Source organism: Homo sapiens, chromosome X (assembly GCF_000001405.40).
Source record: "Homo sapiens chromosome X, GRCh38.p14 Primary Assembly".
In the NCBI taxonomy this organism is placed as follows: Eukaryota; Metazoa; Chordata; class Mammalia; order Primates; family Hominidae; genus Homo; species Homo sapiens.
Window position 1 is genome coordinate 47,190,847 of NC_000023.11, and position 27,111 is coordinate 47,217,957.

At 51.3% G+C, this 27,111-nt stretch overlaps 1 protein-coding gene and 2 long non-coding RNA genes across 17 annotated transcripts in view, besides 9 other annotated features; 2 read left to right on the forward strand and 1 right to left on the reverse strand.

Moving 5' to 3' along the window:
- Positions 1-24,282, forward strand: UBA1 (ubiquitin like modifier activating enzyme 1). Of its 15 annotated transcripts, none has more exons than XM_047442421.1 (28): positions 2,983-3,178; positions 6,101-6,178; positions 7,463-7,509; positions 7,957-8,073; positions 8,202-8,260; positions 8,363-8,531; positions 8,634-8,768; positions 10,048-10,154; positions 10,430-10,520; positions 10,632-10,764; positions 11,310-11,407; positions 11,512-11,658; positions 11,792-11,968; positions 12,097-12,201; positions 12,288-12,368; positions 12,695-12,850; positions 15,102-15,267; positions 15,402-15,598; positions 18,777-18,841; positions 19,082-19,277; positions 19,996-20,070; positions 20,190-20,379; positions 21,578-21,666; positions 21,925-22,017; positions 22,144-22,335; positions 23,481-23,582; positions 23,691-23,791; positions 23,948-24,282. In XM_047442421.1, the coding sequence occupies exons 2-28, from the start codon at positions 6,145-6,147 to the stop codon at positions 24,081-24,083; spliced, it is 3,258 nt and encodes a 1,085-aa protein (XP_047298377.1). In that variant the 5' UTR covers positions 2,983-3,178; positions 6,101-6,144; the 3' UTR covers positions 24,084-24,282. The 15 variants fall into 15 exon arrangements, with proteins under 15 accessions (NP_695012.1, XP_047298381.1, XP_047298377.1 ...); XM_047442422.1 differs by having other exon boundaries at positions 6,104-6,178; NM_001440811.1 differs by lacking the exons at positions 6,101-6,178; positions 7,463-7,509 and adding an exon at positions 5,510-5,623.
- Positions 38-87: an enhancer, noted in NCBI's record as "active region_29583". NCBI's record gives its function as "activates an Ori minimal core promoter by ATAC-STARR-seq in GM12878 lymphoblastoid cells {active_cell/tissue: GM12878}" and the evidence as "EXISTENCE:reporter gene assay evidence [ECO:0000049][PMID:35858748]".
- Positions 118-167: an enhancer, noted in NCBI's record as "active region_29584". NCBI's record gives its function as "activates an Ori minimal core promoter by ATAC-STARR-seq in GM12878 lymphoblastoid cells {active_cell/tissue: GM12878}" and the evidence as "EXISTENCE:reporter gene assay evidence [ECO:0000049][PMID:35858748]".
- Positions 118-688: a biological region, named in NCBI's record as "H3K27ac-H3K4me1 hESC enhancer GRCh37_chrX:47050393-47050933".
- Positions 148-688: an enhancer, noted in NCBI's record as "H3K27ac-H3K4me1 hESC enhancer chrX:47050393-47050933 (GRCh37/hg19 assembly coordinates)". NCBI's record gives its function as "activates a minimal SCP1, AML or CMV promoter by ChIP-STARR-seq in naive and primed H9 embryonic stem cells {active_cell/tissue: H9 hESC(naive and primed)}" and the evidence as "EXISTENCE:reporter gene assay evidence [ECO:0000049][PMID:30033119]".
- Positions 2,823-3,011: a silencer, noted in NCBI's record as "fragment chrX:47053068-47053256 (GRCh37/hg19 assembly coordinates)". NCBI's record gives its function as "represses an EF-1alpha promoter that drives an FKBP-Casp9 reporter gene in an ReSE screen in K562 erythroleukemia cells {active_cell/tissue: K562}" and the evidence as "EXISTENCE:reporter gene assay evidence [ECO:0000049][PMID:32094911]".
- Positions 2,823-3,065: a biological region, named in NCBI's record as "ReSE screen-validated silencer GRCh37_chrX:47053068-47053256".
- Positions 2,886-3,065: an enhancer, noted in NCBI's record as "active region_29585". NCBI's record gives its function as "activates an Ori minimal core promoter by ATAC-STARR-seq in GM12878 lymphoblastoid cells {active_cell/tissue: GM12878}" and the evidence as "EXISTENCE:reporter gene assay evidence [ECO:0000049][PMID:35858748]".
- Positions 3,106-3,255: a silencer, noted in NCBI's record as "silent region_20798". NCBI's record gives its function as "represses an Ori minimal core promoter by ATAC-STARR-seq in GM12878 lymphoblastoid cells {active_cell/tissue: GM12878}" and the evidence as "EXISTENCE:reporter gene assay evidence [ECO:0000049][PMID:35858748]".
- Positions 7,348-8,547: an enhancer, noted in NCBI's record as "CDK7 strongly-dependent group 2 enhancer chrX:47057593-47058792 (GRCh37/hg19 assembly coordinates)". NCBI's record gives its function as "activates an origin of replication core promoter dependent on BRD2, BRD4, P300/CBP, MED14 and CDK7 cofactors, with strong dependence on CDK7, by STARR-seq in HCT116 cells {active_cell/tissue: HCT116}" and the evidence as "EXISTENCE:reporter gene assay evidence [ECO:0000049][PMID:35650434]".
- Positions 13,422-27,111, reverse strand: part of LOC105373194 (uncharacterized) — a 14,383-nt gene continuing 693 nt past the window's right edge. The window contains exons 2-3 of the long non-coding RNA XR_949047.4: positions 26,160-26,288; positions 13,422-14,504 (exon numbers count right to left, since the gene is read on the reverse strand). This is a non-coding gene — a long non-coding RNA (uncharacterized LOC105373194). The remainder of the gene's footprint in view (positions 14,505-26,159; positions 26,289-27,111) is intronic.
- INE1 (inactivation escape 1) lies at positions 14,002-15,015 on the forward strand. The gene has a single exon (NR_024616.1). It is a non-coding gene; the product is annotated as an inactivation escape 1 (long non-coding RNA).

Consider the following 27,111-nt stretch of genomic DNA (forward strand, 5'->3'; position numbering starts at 1 on the left):
AAACTCTGGCTTCTCTTGTACGACAGAGGTGGTTTGCTCTTCCGTTGCCCCGTGGCTTCAGCTCATCTTTGGCAGGAAGGCGAGGCTTCCGCCCGGCACAGGGGGTGAGCTGGAGCACCGTGCCCCCAAGCCTCTGGACAGCATTTGGAGGAGGGTGCTTCCCTAATCCCAACTTCGGGGAAACCCCTCATGGGCGTATTTGGAGCCTCCGGGCCCGGGGTGATATTTAGGGGGCGTCTGCTTTTGAGACCCTTAAGGGGTGCCGTTTGGGGACTTCGGGGTGGGATTTGGGAGTCTGTTTCGGGGAGCACCCCTCGGAGGCAGGGTTTGGGGGGCTTTGGGGAGATTCTTAGGGTCCGTGTATGGGCACCCTTGTCCGTGGAGCAGGATTTGGGTTATTCTTCAAGGGGAGAAGCAAAGCTTGAGGTTACTAAAGTCAAGGCGGGACTGGGGGAGGGCTTGTTTCAGGACGGGGTCCTGGTGACAGAACAATCGGGACCGACGTGGCATTGTGGAGGTGTCAGGCCTTTGTGACCTCTGGTTTTGTGATGAGGTCCTCCCCGCGCCTGGAGGCTCAGGACTGCGAGACTGGACACGTCGGGGGCCCAGATGTTTCTAGGGAGAGGAGCCTCCCAGCTCAGGCTAGGGAAGGGACACCGGAGCCCAGCTCTTCCTGAGCTGACGAGGCGCCACCCGGCCTTTATTCATTATTCATAATAAGGTGGGGCTGTGGTAGGCGGCAGTTTTTTTGCCTCTTTCGCACCTGGTCCGCTGAAGGTTCTCGGCTTGTGAATTATTCACGAGGGGCGGATCAGCGTGCCGAAGGGACGTGCTGAAGGGGCGTTCTGAAGTCTGCCGCGCAAACGAGTTCATTGATGATTCGCAAAAGTTAAGTAGCACCCTGAGTTTTCAGTGGCTTTTCTAGGGGTTCCGTGCTTAATTCATGAGGAGCGTGGCTTTTGCAGCTTTGTCTGCGTGATCCGCGGTTAGCTTTCCCTTGCAGGTACCAGAGTTAAAACCTGGCGTCTAGCAAAGGGATGAGGCCTCCTACATTGTTCATTTCTTATGGCCTGGTAATCCCAGATAATCAGCCGGCTCTGGATTCAAATCCCATCGATCCTTTCCAGTTGTGTGATCTTTGGCAAATCGTTTTGTAAGCCTGAATAATGGGTATGAGGATAACGATAAGATTAGCTTACACTCGTTTAGCTACTTAGCGCATTTAATCTTCACGACAATCCTAGGAGGTAGGTCATTATTACCCCCACTTTATAGATAAGGAAACTGGGACACAGGAAGGCTAAGTAATTTGCCTAAGGTCACACAATCAGTGAGTGGCTGGGCCGGGATTCAAATTGGGGTCTAGTTCCGCAATCTGTAGTCTTAACCAGATGCCATAATGTCTCCCCTCCCCATTCCCCTGCGCCGCCATTTGATAGTACTACTACTACTAATATAACACTTAGCATGTGCCAGGCACTGGTCTAAGCCCTTTCTACTTATTTCTTCATTTAAACTCCATCGCAAGGTAAGTTGCTGTTATTCCTATTTTATGGATGGGGAAGCAGTGGCCCAAGTTGGGGGTTTCTCTAGTGGCTGAGTATTCATAACTAATTTTATATTAATGTAAATATATATTTACATATCTTAACATATTACTTTTATATTAATATATAATATTTTAAAAATTTAACAGTGCCTTGTGCCAGCAATGTTCTAAGGCTCATCCCATAATTTATATTCTCTGATTTTCTTTTGTTTGAGACGGAGTTTCTCTCTTGTCGCCCAAGCTGGAGTGCAATGGCGCGATCTCGGCTGACTGCAACCTCTGCTTCCCGAGTTCAAGCGATTCTCCTGCCTCAGCCTCCCCAGTAGCTGGGATTACAGGCGCCCGCCAACATGCCCAGCTAATTTTTGTATTTTTAGTAGAGACAGGGTTTCACCATCTTGGCCAGGCTGGTCTCCAATTCCTGACCTCAGGTGATCCACCCGCCTCGGCCTCCTAAAGTGCTGGGATTACAGGCGTCATCTGATTTTCATAATAACACATTACTATCCTCATTTTACAGTTGTGGAAACTGAGGCACCTGCCAAAGACATGTAGTGAGTTTGGGTTTGATTGGACCAAGGCAGCCCTTGTTCCTGAGGCGGGGAGAATGGAGGGAGGCGTGGAGAGGGGAGGTGGGGGCAGGGAGTACACGTCCCCTGGGTTTTCTGGTGGCACTGCAGTGACATCTTTCATTATTCATGAACAGGAAGGCGTGCTCACTTTGCCTTGGCTATAGCATCGTAATCCCTATTTGCTGGGCAGGGCAGTCTTGGGTGTTTCTTCGCCTTATGCATAATTCATAAATTGGGTGGAACCTTTCTTGACCTCTCTGAGTTTCCAGGTTGAGCTACTGCAGCAGCATAATTCATTATTCAGGACCTGGGAGAGTGTGTTTTCCCTGCAGCAGCCCCATTTCCCTGCTTACAGTGTATTAGATGCAGCAATAGGCGGGCGTGCCCCTTTTATTCCAACCCACTGGGCCTCATGCATTATTCATGAGTAAGTTGTGGCCTGGGTCTCCTTGGCTTCCGGGCCCCTGCAAGATCATCATTATTCATGAATGGGGGTGTGTGGCTTCCATGTTTTAACATCTGCTTTCTGGTTGCTGGTTGTTAGTCTACCAACCACTCAACTTCATGCATAACTTATAATCAGGAAGCATGGCCTTAACGGTTTTTCTTCGCTTCCTTGACAGCCTGGCTGCAACAATTCATTCATTAGTCGCATTCCATGAGGCGTGGCCTCTGTTTTACCTGTTTTCGTTGTTACTGCCACAATGTCCACCAGGTGGTGCTGTTCCACTTCTAACCGAATGAATCGCAACCGAGTAGGGAACTTTATGCATGATTCATAAGTAGGCGCGGCCCGCTTGCATCCGGGTTTCTGGGGGTGGGGCCCAAGGTTTTGTTCCGGCCCCAGGCTCAGCGTCCGCCATCTTGTGTCGGCGGCTCGGCTGTAAGGAGGTGGCAGGGACAACCACAACCACAACGGCCGGGGGAGGAGAAGGCGGCAGCGGCGATTCTAGGCGGCCCAGGCGGCGGGGAGGAGGAGAAGGAGGAGGGTGGCGGCCGGGCTTGGCTTCGGCTCCTTGAGGAGTTGGCGGCGGCGCGACCCGGGGAACCGGCATTGGTAAAAAAACGTCCTTTCACTGCGCCTCGCCCTGGGCAGGGGTTTCGGGGAGGCACTGGAGGGCCCTGAGCCACGCTGCTGTCGGGGCGGGCCGCGGTGACTCGGGAGCCAGGAATCAGCGGAGTAGGGAGGGGGAGCGGATCCTGGGGCGGGGCCGACTTTCCCCGGCCAGGACCACTCCGGCTCCCTCTGGTTGCAAAATCTGACCTTGGAGTCGGACCCCCAGGATGTGCTTTTAGAGACTCACGCCCAACATCTCTAGTCTGGGACCTGACTCCGTCCCGAACCTTGTATCTCAGATCAGAACTCTTCCCCAGTCTCCAATAGAGATTTACGTGGATCAGCATTGCTGATCAGAGCTCCTCACCATTGAATGCCGTTAAAGACCTGCCCCAGAATCTCCTTTGAGACACTTCCTAGCTTCTCAGTATTTGTCCTCAAGGCTTCCAGGACGGGCTAGATCTCGAAGGGGTCCATAGGCCCTTTATCTCTGTAAGAGAGTCCTCTTTAGCATTTTCCTTCAGACCCCCATCCCACACACATGCTAGCCGCGCTCAGAGCTTCCAGGGGTACTAGACCCTGTGAAAGGCCATTTGGGCCTGGCCTTTGTGTCGGGGGCCCCTCTTCGCCACACGTCAGGTCTCCTAACCCCACCCTGGCCCTAGCATCTTCCATCAGAGACTCTGCCCAGTATTTCTACTCAGAGACCCCTCTTACCATCTGCCTTGAGAGACTCTTCAATTCCTAGACTCTGTCCTTTGACACTTTCTCTACTTTTATGGAATTTCTCGCTTTTTATACTTCCAGTATTCAGAGACTACTGAGAGGCCTCAGCATCTTCCCCATCAGGCACCTTGAACCCCCAGAGCCTTCCAGTGCACCAGATACCAGGGAGGAACTGTTTGGATACATAATCCTCCATCAAAGAGCCCCTGCGAGCATCTGCTCTTGCAGATCCCGTTGGCTTCTAGCCCCTTCCATCAGAGACTCGCCTCCCCAACCCCACCCTAGACCCAGCCTCTGCCTTCAAAAACCAACCTGGGTTCTAGCTGCTTTTTTCACAGATCCCTTATCCTCACATCAGGCCTCAGAATCTGCCCTCAGATCGTTTCAAGGTCCCTAACGTCTGCAGTCAGGGGTTTTCAGCTTCTGCTTTCAGCCTCCTTGGACCCCAGGATCATTGTCAGATGTCCCTTCCCCCCACAGGCCTTCTTGTTTTCTTTTTCTTTTTCTTTTTTCCGAGACAGAATTGTTTCACTATGTCGTCCAGGCTGGAGTGCAGTGGCGCCATCTCAGCTCACTGCAACCTCCACCTCCTGGGTTCAAGCGATTCTCCTGCCTCAGCCTCCCGAGTAGCTGGGATTACAGGCATGCACCACCACGCCTGGCTAATTTTTTGTATTTTTAGTAGAGATGGGGTTTCACCATATTGCCCAGGCTGGTCTCGAACTCCTGACCTCAGGTGATCCACCTGCCTCGGCCTCCCAAAGTGCTGGGATTGCAGGCGTGAGCCACCGCGCCTGGCCATGGCCCTCTTGTTTTCTACTGCAGTAGAAAACCCTCTTCTCAGCATCTACCTTCAGCGCCTCCATGGGGTCCTACATAATTGGTCAGAGAAACCCAACCCCATTTGGGGACCTAGCCAGTGTTTGCTTATTAACCTTTTTAAGGCCTGCACTATCTGGGCCCAGCTTCCCGTTTCCACACCCTCAGAGCAGCTGTGATACCTAGCATGTCCTGTCAGAGATTGACACAGGGCCTTTGTGTTCCATTAGAAACCTCTCCCAGCCCCTCACCATCCACCCTCACAGCCTCCTGGGACTCTGTAGTAGGAATGTCAGATACACCTCTCCTCTTGCATGTCCCTATCTATTATTTTTGGTTAAAGATTTCTCTCTGCTACCAGCATCTGTCTCCAGAGTCCTCCAGAGCCTCAACATCCTCCTGATGGAGGCTGCCTCTCCCCCCAGACCCCAACATCTTCCTGCTGCCTCCTCAGACTCTAGAATCCCCCACCCATTCCCTTTGCAGCTTCCATGGGGCCCAGCAACTGTCCTCCTACCTCCTTGCAGCCTTGGGGGCCTCCACTGCAATTTTTCAGCCTTTCTCCAAAAGATCCTTTTCCAGAGATCCGAATTTGAGTCTTTTCCTAATACCCTAGCCTAGTCCTTTCCCTCCCAGGACTTCTAACATCTCCTTTCCCATTTGTCTCAGAGCCTCCTTGCTCTTAGACACCCACTTCCTGATTCTCCTCTCACGTTCCCATGGACTTCTCAGTTAACCCCTCCCAGAAAGCTTGACATGCTCCAGCCCCCCTTCTCTATGCCCTAGCTTCTCCATCCTGCTAACCTGCCTCCTCTCACACCTCCAAGACTCCTCCCTCAAACCCTCTGGTTTGGGAATAGAGAATGCTTACGCTTGAAAATCTTCAGTTTGGAGACTCAGGTATGTTTAGAAACTAAGCCACAGCTCAGCTTTGCCAAACAGTTCACAGTGTGTATGTTATGGTGGGGGCCTGAGCAAATGTTGAGGTAGGAAGGGTGTAGATTGTTTTTCTGCTGGGGGTGGGGGATCTTTAGCTCCTCTGCAGAGTTTCTGTCCCAGACTCCTGCTTGCCTTGAGACAGGGCTGTTCCAAACCTTTGCAGTCAAAATCCACTTGAACAATCATCTGAAACTTCTTAGACTCTTGCTGCCTGCACTGGGGATCCAGAGGTGAAATGTCCAGATATTAAAGTGCTCTCTGGCCCTGGATCATCTCTAATTTATGGAGTGAGGAAATGGCATGTCCCAAACAAACTGACCAATGACAAGGCAAGGAGATAACTAAGTAATAGAGGCCACTACACGTGCCCAGGGAGGAACTCACATCCTCAGGTCAGTGAGTTCTGACCACAGACCTTGGCTTCTTTAACCCTGCCAGCAGCCCCTTGAAGACAGTTTCATTTGTCCCAGCTTTTGGAGAAAATGAGGCTCAGAGGAAATGAGATCTCTACCCCAGGTCAGTCAGAGAGTCAGTAAATGGAAAATATGGTTCACCTTTGTCTCTACTAACTCACCAAGCCTCTTGCTACCCAGGTTGGCTCTTAGCATTCTAAGCAATTCACCTGGCTATCTCAGGGGCTCCAGCCAGCCTGCTGCCTCCCCTCATCTCCCATTCCTTAGCCCTGTGGACTGGGCCCTGAGCCCAGGGGCATTTGGCAAACAGTCCCCCACCAGCTGCATGCCTCTGGGCGAGTGAATGGGGTTCTCTAAGCCTTTCTTTTCCCATTTGTGATTTGGGCATAGGGTTATCTGGGTCATGGGGATTGTTAAGATTAGACAAAGCCCTTTCCTCTTTGATTGACACACAGTATGCTCTTGGTAGATAGTAGGGAGCTCTTGTCATTGTGGTTGGTGCTAGTGACAAGTGCCAAGATGGAATCTTAGGTACATTGGGATACTTAGTGTCATAAAAGTCTCAGTGTGGGAGGACTTGTGTGAACAGAAGACTCAGTGCCTAGAGGAGCACTTGGGGTGAGGGGAAGTGACGCTGGGTCCTCCCATCTCCAGCATGTGGACCCAGTCACCCCCACCACCAGATTTCACTTCCACAGCAGGCTTTATTGTTCTGTCTCTGGGACCTAGCAGGTGACCCTGGGCAAGTTACTTCTCATTTGTCCGGCAAGGACACTAAACTCTGCCTTGCTGGGTCAGGGTCATGGAGGGGATGAAACGTGATAACACGAGGAAGCAGCCTGGGCTTCAGAGTCAGCAGATCCTGGTCTGGTCCCAGCTCAGTGTGTGGGAACCTTGGTCACCGAACGTCCCTGAGTGAATTTTTTTCCATCACTTTAAAGTTGGGGGTATTATTGATAGCAGTCCAAACCCCACAGGAGTACCCTGAGGACAGAGTGAGACGAGGTTTAGAGAAGTGCTTACTATGGCATCTGGCACAAGGAGGACTCCTGATCAATCTAATACTCATTTATCATTGTGGTTAACCTGTTTAAGGGACTCCGCATGCAGATGAGGCTTGGGATGTGTTTGTTTTCTATCTTTTTGCAACCTCTTTTATTGGTCTGTGTCGGTTTTCCCCTCCCAAAGCTGGGGGCAGGGTTGGGCTTTATAAAACTTGAGCCCCTCTGGGGACTGGGTTCTCAGCAAGTTACCGCTCCTGCCATCATGCCACCCTGATGGATGTCCAAGCCTCACTTCCCTCCTGCACTCCCCGCTCCCGCCGCCATCCCTGGGATTAAGGGAGAGGAGAATGGCTGCTTGTTACTGCCTACCTACTCTGTGCCAGGTTCTATGCTCTGTGTTATTTATCATCTCGATAACCCCGTGGGGAAGGTAAGTGGTATTATCACCCCTGTTTCACAGGTGAGAAAACTGAGGCCTGTGGCGGTTAATTATTACTGTTAGTGCGTGGCAGGCTCAAGATTTGAAACCAGGTCTGTCCTGAATCCACATCCTTCCCCTGACCTCGACACAAGTACATTCTTGTCATTCCTTTCACTCCAGGATTGGAGTCTCTCCCTCATTATGCTGGGCTGGGAAGAAGCAAATGGCTTAGTGGTCAGCAGTGTGGATTTGCAAATCAGACCACCTGGGTTCAGATCTTAGGTCTGACAGCTGTGTTACCCTGGGCAAGTCCTCACCTTTCTGTGCCTGTCCCCTCTTTGCTGTAAAATGGGGGTACTAATACTTAAGTCTTCCCTTCCCCCACAGTTGCTACTAACAAACAGAAAAACGGTACCCATGTGCTCCAGGGTCACCTCTGACCTTTTTTTCCTCCAGATGTCCAGCTCGCCGCTGTCCAAGAAACGTCGCGTGTCCGGGCCTGATCCAAAGCCGGGTTCTAACTGCTCCCCTGCCCAGTCCGTGTTGTCCGAAGTGCCCTCGGTGCCAACCAACGTGAGTGTCCTCTCCGTGGAGACTGGCAGACGAGGTGGTGGGTGGGAAAGTCTTTTGTATCACTGTCTGTCTATCCATGCTCCACTCCTGTGTGTCTCCCTAAACTTGTTCTTTTCCTCTATTCCTAGGGAATGGCCAAGAACGGCAGTGAAGCAGACATAGACGAGGGCCTTTACTCCCGGCAGCTGTAAGTGGGGCCAAGGCCGGGCTGAGGGGTGTGGAATGGGACATTGAGAGGATAAGGTTGGGTGGGGCAGGCCCTGACCTAGAGTACCCCCTAACCTGGCAGGTATGTGTTGGGCCATGAGGCAATGAAGCGGCTCCAGACATCCAGTGTCCTGGTATCAGGCCTGCGGGGCCTGGGCGTGGAGATCGCTAAGAACATCATCCTTGGTGGGGTCAAGGCTGTTACCCTACATGACCAGGGCACTGCCCAGTGGGCTGATCTTTCCTCCCAGGTACCTCTTCCTAGCACCCTTCCCCCTTTCCCCCTTCCCGAGGCACCACTGTTCCCGGTGCCACAGCCATTTCATCTTTTTCCCTACTGCACACCCTTACAGTTCTACCTGCGGGAGGAGGACATCGGTAAAAACCGGGCCGAGGTATCACAGCCCCGCCTCGCTGAGCTCAACAGCTATGTGCCTGTCACTGCCTACACTGGACCCCTCGTTGAGGACTTCCTTAGTGGTTTCCAGGTATCTTGGGGGTACTACCCAGCCTTCTGCCCAGTTTTCTCAGAGCCCATCTCTGGTTTATTCAGTAGTGTTCAATATTGATTTAATGGGTCGGCCTGAATGTCAGGTTTTGTGCTGGGGGACTAGAGTATGCAGGCAGCAGTTAGCCCCTGGCCCTGCCTTTTCTTTTCTTCTTTTTTTTTTTTTGAGACGGAGTCTTGCTCTGTCGCCCAAGCTAGAGTGCAGTGGCGCGATCTCGGCTCACTGCAAGCTACACCTCCTGGGTTCACGCCATTCTCCTGCCTCAGCCTCCCGAGTAGCTGGGACTACAGGCGCCTGCCACCACGCCCGGCTAATTTTTTTTTGTATTTTTAGTAGAGACGGGGTTTCACTGTGTTAGCCAGGGTGGTCTCGATCTCCTGACCTTGTGATCCGCCCGCCTCCGCCTCCCAAAGTGCTGGGATTACAGGTGTGAGCCACCGCACCCGGCCTGGCCCCGCCTTTTCAAGTGGGGAAGATGTGTACAGACAGTACAGCATAGTGGTTGTGGGCACAGACTGTAGAGCCATACTGCCTTGCTGCAGGCCTCCAGCCTTGGTAGTGTGACTTCAAGCAGGTTGTTTCATCTCCTGTACCTTTGTTTTCCTGTTTGTAGTCAGTGCGTGGTAGCAGCACTGACTTCATGGACTTTTTGTGAGGGTTAAACACGTGGAATTGCAGCTGGCATATAAGGACTGGATGGGTGTTTGTTAATTAAAAAGTCCAGGCCGGAAAGAGGTGCTCTGGAAGCTGAGAGTTGTCCCTGGAGTATCCCAGGTTGCCAGGGCACTGCAGCTAAATCCTGATGGAGGAGTAGGAGCTCACCCTGGTGGGGAAGGATGGACATTCAGGCAGAGAGCAAAATCCCAAAGATCATGGCGGAGCAGGCGTCGTCTTGAGAATTGGAAGCAGGTGGGTGTGGTAGGAGTGAGCTCAGACTTTGGCTGGAGACAGAGTTTTACTCCAGTGTCTCACAGGGCATGGCAGACAGACAGCAGCGGGTGTTTGTCAAATAAATGAGTCAGCTCTTCTCCAAACTCCCTCCTCCCAGCTACCTCTTCACCTTTCCTGGTATAGTCCAGGGGTTCATTTTCGACCCCCACAGAGTCTGATACACAGTAGGTGCTATGTGTTTGTGAAAGAGGCTGACCCAGCAAAGCCTGGATGTGTTTGCCTTGAGGACTGCCTGAGTCCTCCACACCAGCCCTCCATTTTTTCCCCTTCACCCCAATGCTGGGCCTGAGCCTCCATCTCTCCACAGGTGGTGGTGCTCACCAACACCCCCCTGGAGGACCAGCTGCGAGTGGGTGAGTTCTGTCACAACCGTGGCATCAAGCTGGTGGTGGCAGACACGCGGGGCCTGTTTGGGTGAGTGGCAGCCCACCTCCCTCCCTGTCCCCTTTTCCCCCAACTCCTACCAAGCCCAGGCCAAGACTCTAGGCTCTCCCTGCCCTCATCCCTTCTCAGCTACCCAGGTTTTGGGTTCTGTGTTTTCATCTCTCCCCATGTGGCACAAGTACCATCTTACATCCCAGCAGTGATAGGCTGAGTTTGCTCAGCAAGTTTTCACTACATCTTGAGGGACCCGTGGGACCTGTATGTGCATGGGACACAGGCACCAGCCCTATTGCTTCCCTCTACAGGCAGCTCTTCTGTGACTTTGGAGAGGAAATGATCCTCACAGATTCCAATGGGGAGCAGCCACTCAGTGCTATGGTTTCTATGGTTACCAAGGTAAGGAGACCAGCCCTAGGGTTCCTGGCAGGCAGGTGGGCTGCAGTAGTCCTTCCTGTCTGCTCTTGGTACCCTGGGCCTGTTTCTGAGACTCACTCTTCCTTTAACCAGGACAACCCCGGTGTGGTTACCTGCCTGGATGAGGCCCGACACGGGTTTGAGAGCGGGGACTTTGTCTCCTTTTCAGAAGTACAGGGCATGGTTGAACTCAACGGAAATCAGCCCATGGAGATCAAAGTCCTGGGTGAGCTGCGACCATGGGGGAAGCAGAGGGGAACTAGAAGATATGTTCCTGGGTTCTGGCCGGGGAGTTGAAGGGAGAAGACATGGCCCTTGGTTCAGAGTTGGGAAGACACATCCTGGTGTTTGAGATGAACTACAGACAATCCTGTGGGGTCCAATAAGAGCTGGTGGGCATGGGGGAGAGGTACTGTGTTTGAGCTATTCCTGGGAGAATGTGTCCCTGGTATCTGAGCTGAGTGGGGAAAAAGTCTCTGGTGTTTGAACAGGGCAGATCAGCGGATCTACTTGTGTGTGAGCTGATTTGGATGGGAAGCAGAGAAGGTCTTCCCGTGTAGACTTGGAGCCAGGGACACAGGGTCTCACGGGGTCTGAGCTGAGTCTGGGGCACAGGAGAGATGGTTTCTGATGTCCAAGTGGAGCCTGGAGCTGAGGGAAGACAGCTTCTGATGTCTGAGCTGAGTCGGGGCAGGAGGTTCCTTATCTTGCAGGGGTTGTGGATTTTAGGGAGAATGGGTAGACTGACAGCTCTCTTCCTGCCCTCTGTAGGTCCTTATACCTTTAGCATCTGTGACACCTCCAACTTCTCCGACTACATCCGTGGAGGCATCGTCAGTCAGGTCAAAGTACCTAAGAAGATTAGCTTTGTGAGTGTGTCGATGGGATCAGTGGGCTGTGGGGGGTGGTTCTAGGCATTCCCTAGTTCTCCATTCCTCTCTTCTGGTTCTGATGACCTCTCCCCCCGCCACAGAAATCCTTGGTGGCCTCACTGGCAGAACCTGACTTTGTGGTGACGGACTTCGCCAAGTTTTCTCGCCCTGCCCAGCTGCACATTGGCTTCCAGGCCCTGCACCAGTTCTGTGCTCAGCATGGCCGGCCACCTCGGCCCCGCAATGAGGTGGGTGAGTGGGCGAGCCAGCCAGCGCAGACATGCCTGGCACTGCAGGCTCACCATGCCTCTCTGCGTGTCCACACTCCCTGCCCTCACTGTGGCCTGACATATCCTCTCTTGGTTCTTTCTGGCCCACCAGGAGGATGCAGCAGAACTGGTAGCCTTAGCACAGGCTGTGAATGCTCGAGCCCTGCCAGCAGTGCAGCAAAATAACCTGGACGAGGACCTCATCCGGAAGCTGGCATATGTGGCTGCTGGGGATCTGGCACCCATAAACGCCTTCATTGGGGGCCTGGCTGCCCAGGAAGTCATGAAGGTCAGCACGGGTGGGGAGAGGCAGGATTGGGGTGGGCCAGGTTCCTCCATGACTCTGTCACTTGCTCTCTGTCTGTGTCAGGCCCCTGTTAACCACTGACCACCCCCTCTCTCCCTTCCCCTCTCCAGGCCTGCTCCGGGAAGTTCATGCCCATCATGCAGTGGCTATACTTTGATGCCCTTGAGTGTCTCCCTGAGGACAAAGAGGTCCTCACAGAGGACAAGTGCCTCCAGGTATGTGGGTGGGACCTGTGGGGAGGGCATCATTGGGGACATTTCTGGGGAGGCCTCTCTAACCCTCCTCCCTTTGCATTCCTTAGCGCCAGAACCGTTATGACGGGCAAGTGGCTGTGTTTGGCTCAGACCTGCAAGAGAAGCTGGGCAAGCAGAAGTATTTCCTGGTAAGTGGTCCCCTTGGATGTCTGCTCCCCTCATCTTGGCCTCTGGCCATCACCCCTGGGGCTTCCTTCGGCATCTCAATGCAACCGGTGGCGCATTCTCTTTGCCATTCTCCTTATCTTGAAGGGAAGCCCAGTGCATCCCTCGTTTCCCCTTCTGGTGCCTCCTTCCTCACATGACTGCGTGTCATTTCTTAGAGTCCTGCAACCTGAAGATGTGGTGTTAGCCCCTCTCCCCGTCTCTCAGGGGAGTGAGGGGTGATGGGTAGCTTCACACTAACCTGCATCACCCTGACCAGCCTCTGCCTGTCTTCTTGGTTGCTTCTTAGGTGGGTGCGGGGGCCATTGGCTGTGAGCTGCTCAAGAACTTTGCCATGATTGGGCTGGGCTGCGGGGAGGGTGGAGAAATCATCGTTACAGACATGGACACCATTGAGAAGTCAAATCTGAATCGACAGTTTCTTTTCCGGCCCTGGGATGTCACGGTGAGTAGGGTAGGAGGTTGGGGCTTTGTCGTCTCACTTTCCTCCTTTTTCTTTTTTTTTTTTTTTTTGAGACGGAGTTTCGCTCTTGTTGCCCAGGCTGTAGTGCAGTGGCGTGATCTCTGGCCCACCACAACCTCTGCCTCCTGGGTTCAAGCGATTCTCCTGCCTCAGCCTCCTGAGTAGCTGGGACTACAGGCATGCGCCACCACGCCCGGCTGATTTTGCATTTTAAGTAGAGACAGGGTTTCTCCATGTTGGTCAGGCTGGTCTCGAATTCCCGACCTCAGGTGATCTGCCTGCTTCAGCCTCCCAAAGTGTTGGTATTACAGGCGTGAGCCACCACACCTCACCCCTCCTTTTTCTTGTTCCCATTCTTTCTGTCAGAGATCTTTCTGCCTCTGCCAGAAGCCCTTCTTTTTGGCCTTTCTTTCCCTCAGCTTCTGTTTTTTTTTTTTTTTTTTTTTTTTTTTTGCCTTAACCTCTTTTTAGTGCTGGTTGGGACAGTGTGTCTGGGGTCCTCAAAACTACTCTCAAGCTCAATTCACCTAGAGTACTTACAGGACTCAGCATATAGTCGTGCTTGTGGCTACAATTTATTACAGCAAAAGGATACAGACCAAAATCAGCAAAGGGAAAAGGCTGGTGCAAGTTTCTAGGAGTCTTCTCCCAGCGGGAGTTAAACAAGGCGGCCTTTATTTCCCCAGTAGCAACAGTAACTACAGAAATAACAGCAACAAGGTGTAACAAGACATGAAATGTTGCCAACCAGGGAAGCTTGTTAGACTCAGCACCACCTCTTTTACTTGGGGCTGGTCATGTAGGCGCCCCCTTCCTGGCACATAACAAAATTTCCAGACTCCCAGAAGGAAAGGTGTTCAGCGTAAACTGTATTGTTTGCATGAACGGTTTAGGCACAGTGAACCACTGATACCAGGTAGGGAGCGGTGGGAACCTTCCTGAATTCCAAGTTCCCAGACACCAGCCAAGGAGCCGACCTTGGAAGCAGGCCTTTCCAAGGGTTGTAGTTTCAGTCTCCTAGGCTTACACTTCTCTGCACATATGGAAACTGGGTTGGTTATGCAGGGTTCTCTGAGAAGCTTTCTGTAAGGAGCAGTGTCGTTTTTGCTTACCCAGGATTTATTCCCCCTTTCATTTATTTCATTTATTCACCAGATAGTTTTAGTACTGTTTTAGGTATTGGGGATATACCAAGGAATAAAACAAGATTCCTGGAGGGAGAGGGGAACGGACAGCAAACAATAGACACAATACGATCGTGAGGTATATAGTTAATGTTGGTGATGAGTGCTCCTCAAAGGAAACAACTAAAACCAGACAAGGGAAGTCGGGGTGTCAGGGAGAATGGTTTGTAGTATTGATGACAATGGTTAAGGAAGGCCTGAGTTCTGCAAAGACCTCAAGGATATGAGGGACTAGAGTGCCCTCTGCTGTGGAAGAGCCTGCGCAAAGATCCTGAGGTGGGAGGGGTCAGGGAGCCAACTCATTTTACGGTAAGTGGAGGTGGGATCCAGGGGAGGATTCTGAGCAGAGGAGGGACGTGGCCCAATTTGGGCTTTGAAAGGATCCTGCTTGTCTGTGTGCCAGCATCCTGGTGGTGGTTGGGGGAGTCTGCATCAATCCTGGGTGCTGTTACCTGAAAAAATAGCAGGTGTTAGACGAAAGAACAGATGTCTGGCCCATTGTCTCCAGTCTGTTCCTGTCCACAGCTTCCCTTTATGCTGAGCCCCTGCCACATGCATCATCATCCTGGCCATGTGGCATTGTCACAGACCGTCTCTCCTGCTAGCCTCCTAACTCAGGGCCTGGGTCTTCCCCAGCATTAAGTAAATCAGTCTCAGGCAGACAGCCCTTTATAGGTGTTTGGGCCAGGTGCGGTGGCTCACGCCTGTAATCCCAGCTCTTTGTGGGGCCGAGGTCTTTGAGCTCAGGAGTTCAAGACCAGCCTGGGCAGCATGACAAAACCCTGTCTCTACCAAAAATACAAAAATTAGCCACGCATGGTGGCACACACCTGTGGTCCCAGCTACTCGGGAGGCTGAGGTGGGAGGATCGCTGGAGCCTGGGAAGTTGAGGCTGCAGTGAGCCGTGATCATGCCACTGCATTCCAGCCTGTGTGATGGAGAGAGACCCTGTCTCAAAAAAAATAAAGATGTTTGTTGGGTGAATGCACAAATAAGTGAGCTTTGTTCCCCCATCCCCACCCTGGAACTGCACTTTCTTAACCCTTTAGAAGTTAAAGTCTGACACGGCTGCTGCAGCTGTGCGCCAAATGAATCCACATATCCGGGTGACAAGCCACCAGAACCGTGTGGGTCCTGACACGGAGCGCATCTATGATGACGATTTTTTCCAAAACCTAGATGGCGTGGCCAATGCCCTGGACAACGTGGATGCCCGTGAGTTTGGAGGCGGGTGAGGTGGTCACGGGCAAAGTTGTGTGTGTTTCGGTGTGTATATACCAAGAGGGGTGTCCGTCTTTCTGTCCTCTCCTGATGTTTCTTTCCTAGCTCTCGCTTTGTGCTCCCCACAGGCATGTACATGGACCGCCGCTGTGTCTACTACCGGAAGCCACTGCTGGAGTCAGGCACACTGGGCACCAAAGGCAATGTGCAGGTGGTGATCCCCTTCCTGACAGAGTCGTACAGTTCCAGCCAGGACCCACCTGAGAAGTCCATCCCCATCTGTACCCTGAAGAACTTCCCTAATGCCATCGAGCACACCCTGCAGGTGATAAGCTGTGGGAGAAGGGAAAGAGGCCAGGCATCTGGCCAGGCTGCTGCCTCTCCGCCCCCAGGCCCTTGCCTTGCCTTCAGATGTTGCATGCCTAAGTGTAAGATGTGCCTTTTCTCCAAACCTCCCTCCCTCACTTCCCACCAGGCAGCCTAGGTTTCTAGAATGACTCATTCTTTTTTCACTTTTATTTTGATTTTTTTTTCAACACATAGACAAATATTAAGAATATTATGATGAATACTCAAATACCATTCCTCACCTAAATTTAACAATTCTTAATGTTTTGCCACATTTTCTTCTTAGATTTATGTAGATTTTTCTTCTTTGTGCTTAAATGTGTCACAGACATCACAGCCCTTTACTCCCTACTATTTCAGTGCCTCTGCCAAGTGAGGATATGTTGCTGTAGAACAGGGTTTCTTAGCTTCAGCACTACTGACATTTGGGGCTGGTTATTTATTTGTCATGGGAGAGGGGATGCCCTGTGCACTGTAGGATGTTTCTCAGCATTCCTGACTTCTGCCCACTAGATGCCAATAGCACTCTCCCTCCATCATGACATCTCAAAATGTCTCCAGACATTGCCAGATGTCCCCAGGGGTGCCACATCACTCCCAGTTGAGAACTACTTCTGTCTAACAGAAACATCATTTTCATGCTCAGCAAAATTAACAATCATTCTTACCATCTCTTCTAGTTATTTATTTGTCTCTAATGGTCCATATTCAGGTTTTCCCCAGCTGTTACTCAAAATGAGTTTAACAGCTGGTTTGTCAGGATGATTCTGTGTGTATGGTGCATTTATCTACAGAACAGTGCATATATTATCTAGCTCGGGGTGTCCAATCATTTGGCTTCCCTGGGCCACATTGGAAGAAGAATTGTCTCGGGCCACACATAAAATATACTAATACTAACGATAGCTGATGAGCTGAAAAAATAAAAGAAAAAAAGATCCGTGCATAAATCTCATAATGTCTTAAGAAAATTTACAAATTTGTGTTGGGCAGCATTCAAAGTCATCCTGGGCTGCATATGGGCCACAGGTTAGACAAGCTTGATCTAGCTGAAGTTTTACAAAGTGAACACACAGGTGACCACCACCTGGGCCAAGAAACAGAACCTAGGGATTACCATTGTGCTGTCAGAATAATTCTTAGTGCAGTGTTTGAGGCCAAACCATTTAGAATAGTAGGAGTATGAGGGTGGGAACAAAATAGGGAAGGGAAAAAAAAAACAGTTCCATCTGTCACTTTCTCCCTTCTGACACTGCAGTTCCAGAGTGGGTATGTTTGTATTTGTGCACCAACCACAGTCTTGCTAGGTCATGTGTAACCTTGAACTTAACCTCTCTGTGCCGCAGATTCCTGTTCTGTAAAATGGGAATGACAGCATCTACCTCACAGGACTATTGTGAACCACTTGGCATTTACTGTGTGCCTGGCACTGTTTTAACCAAGCTTTAAATATATATGTATTTGCTCATTTCTTCCTAGCAACCCCATGAAGGTAGGTATCACTGTTGTAACACCTGTTTTAGAGACAAGGCACAGAGGTAAAGATGTTATCCTGTGTGCCTGAAGTCACAAAACTAGGTAATACGTGGCATAGCTGGAATCTGAACCTGAATTTCTAACATCTGTACACTCCAAACCACCTCGCTAATGACTGCGAACTGTCCTAGGAATTCTCAGAGGCCAGAAGTTCTGTCTTGTTTGCTATTTTATTTTTTGAGACAGGTCTCATTCTGCCATTCAGGCTGAAGTGTATTGGCACAATCATAGCTCACTGCAACCTTCCAACTCCTGGGAAGTGTCTGTACGTGTGTGTGTGTGTGTGTGTAAGTGTCTGTGTGTACGTGTAAGTGTGTGTACGTGTGTGTGTGTGTGTGTGCGCACGCACGCGTGCCCGTTACGTTGACCAGGCTGGTTGTAAACTCCTGGGCTCAAGTGATCCACCTGCCTCAGCCTCCAAAAGTGCTGGGATTACATGTGTAAGCCTCTGTGTCCGGCCTCTGTCTTGTTTTCTGCCAAGTCCTCAGGGCCTGGATAGGGATCATTGTTGGTTTGGTCTGAGTTTTTTGTGTTTTAAAAAACTGTGGTAAGATATACCTAATTGAAGTTTTTATTTTTTATGGAGGCATAACATATCTAGAATAAGGTACACAGATTTTTTTTTTTTTTTTTTTGAGGTGGAGTTTTGCTCATGTTGCCCAGGTTGGAGTGCAGTGGCGCAGTCTCGGCTCACTGCAGCCTCCGCCTCCCAGGTTCAAGCGATTCTCCTGCCTCAGCCTTCCAAAGTGCTGGGAATACAGGCGTGAGCCACCTCGCCTGGCACTCAGATCTTAATACATTTTTAGGCTGGGCATGGCGGCTGACACCTATAATCTCAGCACTCAGGAGGCCAAGGAGTGAGGTTTGTTTGAGCCCAGGAGTTCAAGACCAGCCTAGGCAACATAGCAAGACCCTGTCTCTACAACAAATCTTAAAAATTAGCCGGGTGTGGTGGCATGTGCCTGCTGTCCCAGCTATTCGGGAGGCTGAGGTGGGAGGATCGTTTCAACCTGGGAGGTCAAGGCTGCTGTGAGCCGTGATTGCATCGCTGCACTCCAGCTCGGGTGACAGTGTGAGACTTTGTCTCAAACAACAAAACAAAACAGTTTTCCACATACACAGCACTATTGTAACCACTGCCCAAATCAACTTCATTGATTTTTCTTTTTTTGAGACAGTCTTCCTCTGTCACCCAGGCTGGAGTGCAATGGCATGATCTCGGCTCACTGCAACCTCCGCCTCCCGGGTTCAAGAGATTTCCTGCCTCAGCCTCCTGAGTAGCTGGGATTACAGGCATCTGCCACCACGCCCAGCTACTTTTTGTATTTTTAGTAGAGATGGGGTTTCACCATGTTGGTCAGGCTGGTCTCGAACCCTTGACCTCAGGTGATCCATCTGCCTTAGCCTCCCAAAGTGCTGGGATTACAGGTGTGAGCTACTGTGCCTGGCCTGGTTTTTCAATTGAGGTGGGGGAATGGGGAAGGCTAGAGGGCTTCCCCACTTCCAGAGTAGCTGTGCGCCTTGTACTTGCTTTATTCACTGATGGTCCTTCTAATAATGCCTGCGGAAACCCATTTTGTCAACTGTGGCCACATGTAATCTGTTTGCTCTGTCTGCAGTGGGCTCGGGATGAGTTTGAAGGCCTCTTCAAGCAGCCAGCAGAAAATGTCAACCAGTACCTCACGTGAGTAACTCGAGTGCCCTCTCGCCCTGTCCCTGTCCACCAGCCAAGGCATCCCGGCTGCTTTCCTCATGACAGTAACACTTGGCACCAGGCACACTTTTCACATGAATGAGTGGCTGTTGGGGCCTCATGTTGTTTGGGGTCGGGACTAGTTTTCCATGGAGAAAGTAAGATTGCTCTGGAGCCCACTCTTGAGGCTGACATGTAATCCTATCCTCTGTCCTCTTCGATTCCTGATAGAGACCCCAAGTTTGTGGAGCGAACACTGCGGCTGGCAGGCACTCAGCCCTTGGAGGTGCTGGAGGCTGTGCAGCGCAGCCTGGTGCTGCAGCGACCACAGACCTGGGCTGACTGCGTGACCTGGGCCTGCCACCACTGGCACACCCAGTACTCGAACAACATCCGGCAGCTGCTGCACAACTTCCCTCCTGACCAGGTAATGCCCAGTTGTTGGGTCCATTTGGCAGAATGTGTTTCCCTGAAATGGGAGCCTGCAGTGTGGGTCCTCCCACTGTGGAGTCCAGCTGTGGCAGGTGCCCTGAGGCATGGGGATCTGAGAAGAGTGATTGATCCTGACCTGCTTTTTCCTCACCCTAGTTCCTTTGAGCAAAGAGGCTTGGTTGCTATTGCCCTTGACTGTGGTGTGGGCTGCGTCATACCTGATTCCCAGTCAGGGCTGTAGGGATTATGGGGGAGAAATTCTGGAGTTAAGAGCACAGGAATCAATATGGGTTCAAATCCAAACTCTACTTGAACTTAGGCAAATCACGTAACTTCTCTCTGTACCTCAGTTTCCTCGTCTGTGAAGTAGAAATAATAGTGATCTATCTCATGGGGGGTTTGGGGAGGATTAACTGGTATTTATTAAAATGAAGTTAGTACAATGCCTGGTAATCCATGAGAGTTTGTTAAATGATGGGCTGTTTAGCACAAAATGGCTACCCAGTGATTGGTAATTGTTCTCTCAGCCAGATCTCTGGTTCAACCTGTGGGACCCTACAGTTGAGGTATTTTGTGATTGGCTCCAGTCCGCATCGAGTGCCCAACCCAAGATAGTGAATTGGGGGCACATCTGGGGCCTAGGTGAAGCGTGAAGATTGTCAGAGAGGCCTTCACTCTCAGGTCCTGTTCTCAAAAATCTCTCCATCCCTTAGCTCACAAGCTCAGGAGCGCCGTTCTGGTCTGGGCCCAAACGCTGTCCACACCCGCTCACCTTTGATGTCAACAATGTAAGTCTCCTTTCTAGGGTCTTCTGGGGTCAGGTGGAGGGTGAATAGGTGGGAAGGAGGTGGCGGCTCCCCACTCGAGGGCTGATGTGCTCACCCTTCCCTGCCCTGCCTTCTCCTAGCCCCTGCATCTGGACTATGTGATGGCTGCTGCCAACCTGTTTGCCCAGACCTACGGGCTGACAGGCTCTCAGGACCGAGCTGCTGTGGCCACATTCCTGCAGTCTGTGCAGGTCCCCGAATTCACCCCCAAGTCTGGCGTCAAGATCCATGTTTCTGACCAGGAGCTGCAGAGCGCCAATGCCTCTGTTGGTGAGGGTGTTTGGCCAGTTGGCCAGGAGTCACCCCACATGTCCCCGGCCTAGTCCAGCCTCCCCACCAGTCCTCTACCCCTGGTTCTGCTCTGCTCTGTGACCCCAGGCCTGAGGTTTACCCACACCTTCCTTTGAGCCTCCCTTTGACATGAAGAGGGTAGGTTGGGGCAAATTATCTCCCTCCCTCCTCCTCCTTCCCACTATCTGGCCCTCAGGAGAACTTGCTGTTTTACTCTTGCTCTGTGTATTTCCCTTAGTTTTGTTCTTTCTTCTGTTTCTTCTTGATCTGTTCATCTAGGAGGTATGATCTCTACCAGCAGTCTCTCTCCCTTGATACTTTCCTGCCTTGTCTCCTTCCAGATCCGCCCCCATCTGTACATCTACCTGCATGTTTCTCTGTGCATCTTCACCCTCCATAGTTTGGGGCTGCGGTTTACTGACACCCCCACCCCACCCCATCTGCATATTTTTTCACCACCCCTCCCTTCTGTATATGATGCTTCTGTAGCTCTGTAACGCCCCCTACATTTACCTTCCTTATATCTCCCCCGTCTTCCTCTCCATAGATCTCCTCCCATTTCCCCTTCCATGGTCCCCATCTTCCTTCTGAAATGTCTACTCCTTCATGTTCCTTTATGTATGTCTTCCAATCTTTCCTTCCATAGCTCTCATCACCTTCATATATTTCTTCCATCTTTCTCCTCCCACCTGCCTCGCCCTCTGTATATACCCCCACTCTCCCCCTTTTATATCTTCTCCATCTCCCCCCATATCTTTCCTCTATGTCCACATCTGTGTATTCCCCCCAACTTCCCCTCCATATATCTTTTTTACTCCCCTTTTCCTCCCTGTATCCTCTGTGTTCCCCCCATCTTGCTCTACATCATTCTTCCCAAGATCTTTACGTCTCCCATCTTGATCTCTCCATCTCCACTTTCTCCTAACATTTTCATTTCCGTTCCTTAGTGTCTCTAGAGAGATCATTCTTGATAGCCTCAGCTCTTTCTCTGTGTTTTTCAGGTTTGTATTCTGCTCTGCTCTACCTCTCCTCCTTGCCCCTTTTCTCTCCCAGGATGTCTCTCCTTTCCAAATCCTTTTTGTACCTGAATACCTTTTGCCCCACCCTGGGCTCTCATTTCCATCTCAGACCTTAGCCTGGGATCTAAAGGGCTGACAGTGTCCCTTTCTTCATGCAGATGACAGTCGTCTAGAGGAGCTCAAAGCCACTCTGCCCAGCCCAGACAAGCTCCCTGGATTCAAGATGTACCCCATTGACTTTGAGAAGGTATGGGGTGGGGCTCAGGACAGGGAAGGAGGATGGGCAAAGCATAGACAGGCTGGAGAAAACAGGAGTATCTGGAGCCAGCCCCGGGCCTTTGTGGGGATCAGATTGTGGGCCTGCCATATGGCTCTGAATGAGTAGGTGTTCCCAGCCATCCCTTTGTGATCTGGGAGAGTCCAGCAGGCAATTGCAGTGGAGGATACACATCTTCTTTATCTGATCCTCTCCCCACTGCCTTCACACCCTCCCCACTCATAACAGGATGATGACAGCAACTTTCATATGGATTTCATCGTGGCTGCATCCAACCTCCGGGCAGAAAACTATGACATTCCTTCTGCAGACCGGCACAAGGTGAGGGGAATCTAAATCTGATGTTCCACCCTCCTCCAGGTTTGAGTTACCCACACTTAGCCCCTCTGTAGACCCTGAGGCTCTTGTACTTAACTACCACCTTCTTTTGTCCCTTCTGTCTCTCAGAGCAAGCTGATTGCAGGGAAGATCATCCCAGCCATTGCCACGACCACAGCAGCCGTGGTTGGCCTTGTGTGTCTGGAGCTGTACAAGGTTGTGCAGGGGCACCGACAGCTTGACTCCTACAAGAATGGTTTCCTCAACTTGGCCCTGCCTTTCTTTGGTTTCTCTGAACCCCTTGCCGCACCACGTCACCAGGTGGGGGCCTGCATCCGAAGCAGGGTTTGGGTGGGGTGTATCTGTGTAGATCTGGTTCTGATTCACGTCATACCCTGTCACCAGGTGAGGGTTTCTGTCTGTGTACCTACCCTTTTTGTGTATCCTTTTTCACTTATTCATTAATCACATTATTTGAGTACGTGCGAAAAGATGGGATATTTGAATTGTGCCCTGGGAGATTATTAGTAACTACACAATAATGGCAGCCAAAATTTATTGGACGCTTCCTACACTTAAGTGCTTTGCTTGCTTCATTAATGAATTCACTCAAATATTTATTGAGCACCTTTTGTGTGCAGGGACTCTTCTAAGTTATGTTCCTCAAGTAGATTATATAAATAACCTATTAAATGATTTTGGAATCAAAAAAGGATAAAAAGAGGCCGGGCGTGGTGGCTTACGCCTGTAATCCCAGCACTTTGGGAGGCCGAGGCACGTGGTTCACCTGAAGTCAGGAGTTTGAGACCAGCCTGGCCAACATGATGAAACCCTGTCTCTACTAAAAATACAAAAAATTAGCCAGGCGTAGTGGTAGGCACCTGTAATCCCAGCTACTCGGGAGGCTGAGGCAAGAGAATCACTTGAACCCGGGAGGCGGAGGTTGCAGTGAGCCAAGATGGCGCCATTGCACTCCCGCCTGGGTGACAGAGCGAGACTGCATCTCAAAAAAAAAAAAAGATAAAGAGGACTTGAGAATACCAGGGGGCGAGGGGATGTATTTGAGATTTTGTGTAGGATGGTCAGAAAAGGCCTTGCTGAAAAGATGACATTTGAGATCAGACTTGGAGGATGTAAGGGGACAAACTGTGCAGGCTTGGTGGCGAGTGGGGACACATTCCAGGCAGAGGGACCAGTTCTTGAAAGGGTACCAAGATAGGGGTGTGCCTGGCAAGTTGGAGGAATTCAAAGTCCCCAGAGTGAGTGTGAGATTGAGGAGGGTAGGAGATGAGAAGAAAACAGAATTTCATTGCTTAGGGTGAGATAGGAACCACAAGAGGATTTCGAACAAAAGAGGGTTGTGATCTGACTAAACACGTCTGCATGGGGGTAGGGGGGATGGAGACAGATGGGGGCTGGACCCTCTGGGATGGTCTCCATCTTACACTCCCCTCTTTGTCTTGCAGTACTATAACCAAGAGTGGACATTGTGGGATCGCTTTGAGGTACAAGGGCTGCAGCCTAATGGTGAGGAGATGACCCTCAAACAGTTCCTCGACTATTTTAAGGTAAGGCCCCTCCCTTACTCTGTCACCCCACCTCAGGGGGCGAGGTGTACACGGTGACTTGCTGGCCTGTCCACCTCCATGACCCTGCTGTTCCCCCTCCCTCTCCAGACAGAGCACAAATTAGAGATCACCATGCTGTCCCAGGGCGTGTCCATGCTCTATTCCTTCTTCATGCCAGCTGCCAAGCTCAAGGAACGGTTGGATCAGCCGTGAGTTGGACACTGGCCAGGCTAGGGGAGGCCCTGTATGGGTTGGGGAGCCTCATCATCCAGCTGTCCCACTCCAGTTCACTGCCCCTACCTACCTGCCCATCCTCTCTTGCTTTCTGCCCTCCTGACCCTATACTCCCATCCCCCTATCCCCAGGATGACAGAGATTGTGAGCCGTGTGTCGAAGCGAAAGCTGGGCCGCCACGTGCGGGCGCTGGTGCTTGAGCTGTGCTGTAACGACGAGAGCGGCGAGGATGTCGAGGTTCCCTATGTCCGATACACCATCCGCTGACCCCGTCTGCTCCTCTAGGCTGGCCCCTTGTCCACCCCTCTCCACACCCCTTCCAGCCCAGGGTTCCCATTTGGCTTCTGGCAGTGGCCCAACTAGCCAAGTCTGGTGTTCCCTCATCATCCCCCTACCTGAACCCCTCTTGCCACTGCCTTCTACCTTGTTTGAAACCTGAATCCTAATAAAGAATTAATAACTCCCACATCGCCTGCCCTGCTGGTTCCAGGGAAGGAAGGGACTTCCTGGAGCTGTCTGGTTCAGATGATAACTCAGAGGGCTCAACCCCACCACACCTGCCAGTTTTCTGGACAAAGAAAATGTAATTGCCACCTCTTCCTGCCCTCTCTGCCTAGGAAGAGATGGAGGCACCAGTGAGGCCATAGTGAGCAGGTACTTGGGTCCATGTGACTGTTAATTTGAGCTGGGTTCAATTCTCACCTTCTCCATGTCCTAACTCCTTGCTCTGTGAAGAGGAAAGTTACGGTGACCAGGCTGCTAGGGCATGGCCAGCGTGCCTTATGTCCTTAGGGCAGATCCCCTCCCACCTGGCTCAAAGCACTCAGACCCTGGGCAGCCTTTTGTGGTCATGGTTCCCAGCACCAGGAATGCCTGTGCTGCTCTTAGTTCAATTTCCTTGCTGCAGGGGTGTCTTAAACAGCTCTGCCGAATGCCAGTGCCTGCAGGCATACTTCGTGATTTTTATGGAAATACTTGAGAACATCTGTAGAGGAAAAGCCCGTTGCTTGCCTTACGCTTCCCCCGGCCCTGCCGCCGCCCCAGCCCCAGGTCTGCCTGTATTCCCCTTGAGGATCTTCAGCCTCCTACTTTGGAGAAGACAGCTGGCTGTGGGGACTGAGGGGTGTTCATCGCTTAGAGCAGGTAGCAGGAGGCCTAACACCAGCCCCACCGGGACTGCAGAGTTACCGTGCTCTGTCCTTGGTCTTGGCTGAGTGCTCCAGACAATTGAAAGCACCAGTCTGGCCACTGCTACATCTTTGCCTTCTTCTATTGTACTGGCTCCTGGTGCCTGAGGAGTCCATTCATACTTCTGTTCCTCAACTAACCAATAATTTATCTACCTTACTTAGAAACAAGATCCCTCACTCTTCTACTCAAACCTGAGTGTAAGGAATAGCTCAACCTGTTCTGAACTGGCTTGATTCCCATCACAGCCTGTGCCCACATCTGCTGCCTCCTGGGCCAGTAGTTCCTGGTCCTGGGCACAGTATATGCCCTTGTCCACCTCCTTCTGATCATTTTATTTTCTTGGCCTGCTCTGCTTGGGTGACCTTATCCTTCCACAGTTTCTTCTTCCCCACTAGGACGTTGAGGACAGAGGCATTTTCCCTTTGGTATCTAGTGGTGATACTGTCAAAGGGAAAGTTTTTCCCACCACAGGAACTTTCCCATTATTGCTCTAGAGTACCCTAGACACTCCACACCGCAGTCCACTGGCCACACCACTACAGCAGCTGAGGCTTGAACACAACTGTTGTCTTCTTTCTCCAGTATGCCAGCTCCTTTGCGGATACTCTATAGACACCTTGTTCACTGCACCTCCCCCATTACGGCTCCATGTCTTCCCCACCACAACTCCTGGATCTCCTTGACACCTTATTCGTGCCTGACACCCTTCTCCATCAAAACAAGCTTTTGAGTCATGCATGAATCCTGGTTGCATCTTAGTTGTTCCCCCTCCACCTCATTCCATTTTACTTCTGCGGTTTGTCTACCAGTCTACCATTGTTAACACCAGCCAGATGGGAGATCAGGGCTTAGCAGGCGGGGGTTGCGTCATTGCACCGAGCCCCCTGCACCCAGCAGCCACAAAGGATAGGGTGGGACAAAGGTTTCTCTTGTCACTGCCTGGAACTATTTGCCCACCTCCTTCTGATCATTTTATTTTCTTGGCCTGCTCTGGCAGGCATTCAACAAACATTTGTTGTGTGCTGTGTGCCAGTCACTTTCTAGGCACGTGAGACAGCAGTGGATAAAACAAAGATCCCTGTCCTCTTGGGGTTTTACGTTCTGCTAGGTTGACACCCAGAATAGATTATAAACACAGTAAGCAAATTGTACCTTAGAAGTTGATCAGTGCTCTTCAAAAGGCGAGGAATAGAGCCCGATCTGGGGATCTGGAATGATGGCAGTGCAGGTAGGAATTTTTAAATCGGAAAGGCTTCATGGAGATGACTTTGAAGCAAGCACCTGGAAGAAGTGAGAGAATGAGGCACGTGGATGTGGGCCAGCAGCATTCCAGGCAAAGGGAACCACAGCAAATGCAAAACCCCTGAGGCTGGATTGTGCCCGTTTCACTCAAACAGCTAGAAAGAGCGCTAGTATGGTGGCAGTGAGTCAGGGGAAGAAGAGGAAGAGATGAGGTCAGAGAAGTGATGAGCCTGTTCTATGCCAAGGCGAGGACTTTTATCTTTGTCAAATATTTCCACTCCCATCATGGCCCGGGAAATCTCACTAATGTAAACCTTACTGAAAATCCTAACTGCTGTGATCAAGGCTGCCATAAAGGGAAGCCCGGAAGAGGCGGGGAGGCTGCCTTGGAACAGGGTAGTGTAAGGATGTGCCAGAAGGCCTGCTGGAGGTTGCAGCCCTTTGAGCTGGACTTGGGGATAGTGTGGTTTTCCAGGCAGAAGGAAGTGAAGGATTAGGTCGGCCTGGTAGTACTTGGCACACAACATGCGCCCAATAAATAAAATGGAAATAAAACCGCGGAGTGTTCTACTTGTGTTGACTGACATCAAAACAAAACAAAAAACCCTCAGAGTGAGGGGAGGCACGGGAGGGGCTGTGCCGGGCAAGAGAGGTGGCAGGAAAATCCAACGCACGGCGCCTATGCAAATACTCGTGTGAGGCAGAAAAGAGGCTCCGCCCCGCTCGAAGTTCCAAGCATGCGCAGTAGCGGCTCCTGCGCCTCTAAGGATCCGCCTCTTTCCTTCTTTCTCAGCCTGGGTTCCACCCCGGGAGGCCCGCTGTATGAGATGGAGGGCGGGCTAAAGGCGGGACGAGACTCGAT

Coding starts and splice junctions, on each gene's coding strand:
- UBA1 (XM_017029777.2), top strand. CDS start 7,357: ATGTCCAAGCCTCACTTCCCTCCTGCACTCCCCGCTCCCGCCGCCATC. Junction 20,380..21,577: donor GAGCGCCAATGCCTCTGTTG/GTGAGGGTGTTT, acceptor TTCTTCATGCAG/ATGACAGTCGTCTAGAGGAG. Junction 21,667..21,924: donor ACCCCATTGACTTTGAGAAG/GTATGGGGTGGG, acceptor CACTCATAACAG/GATGATGACAGCAACTTTCA.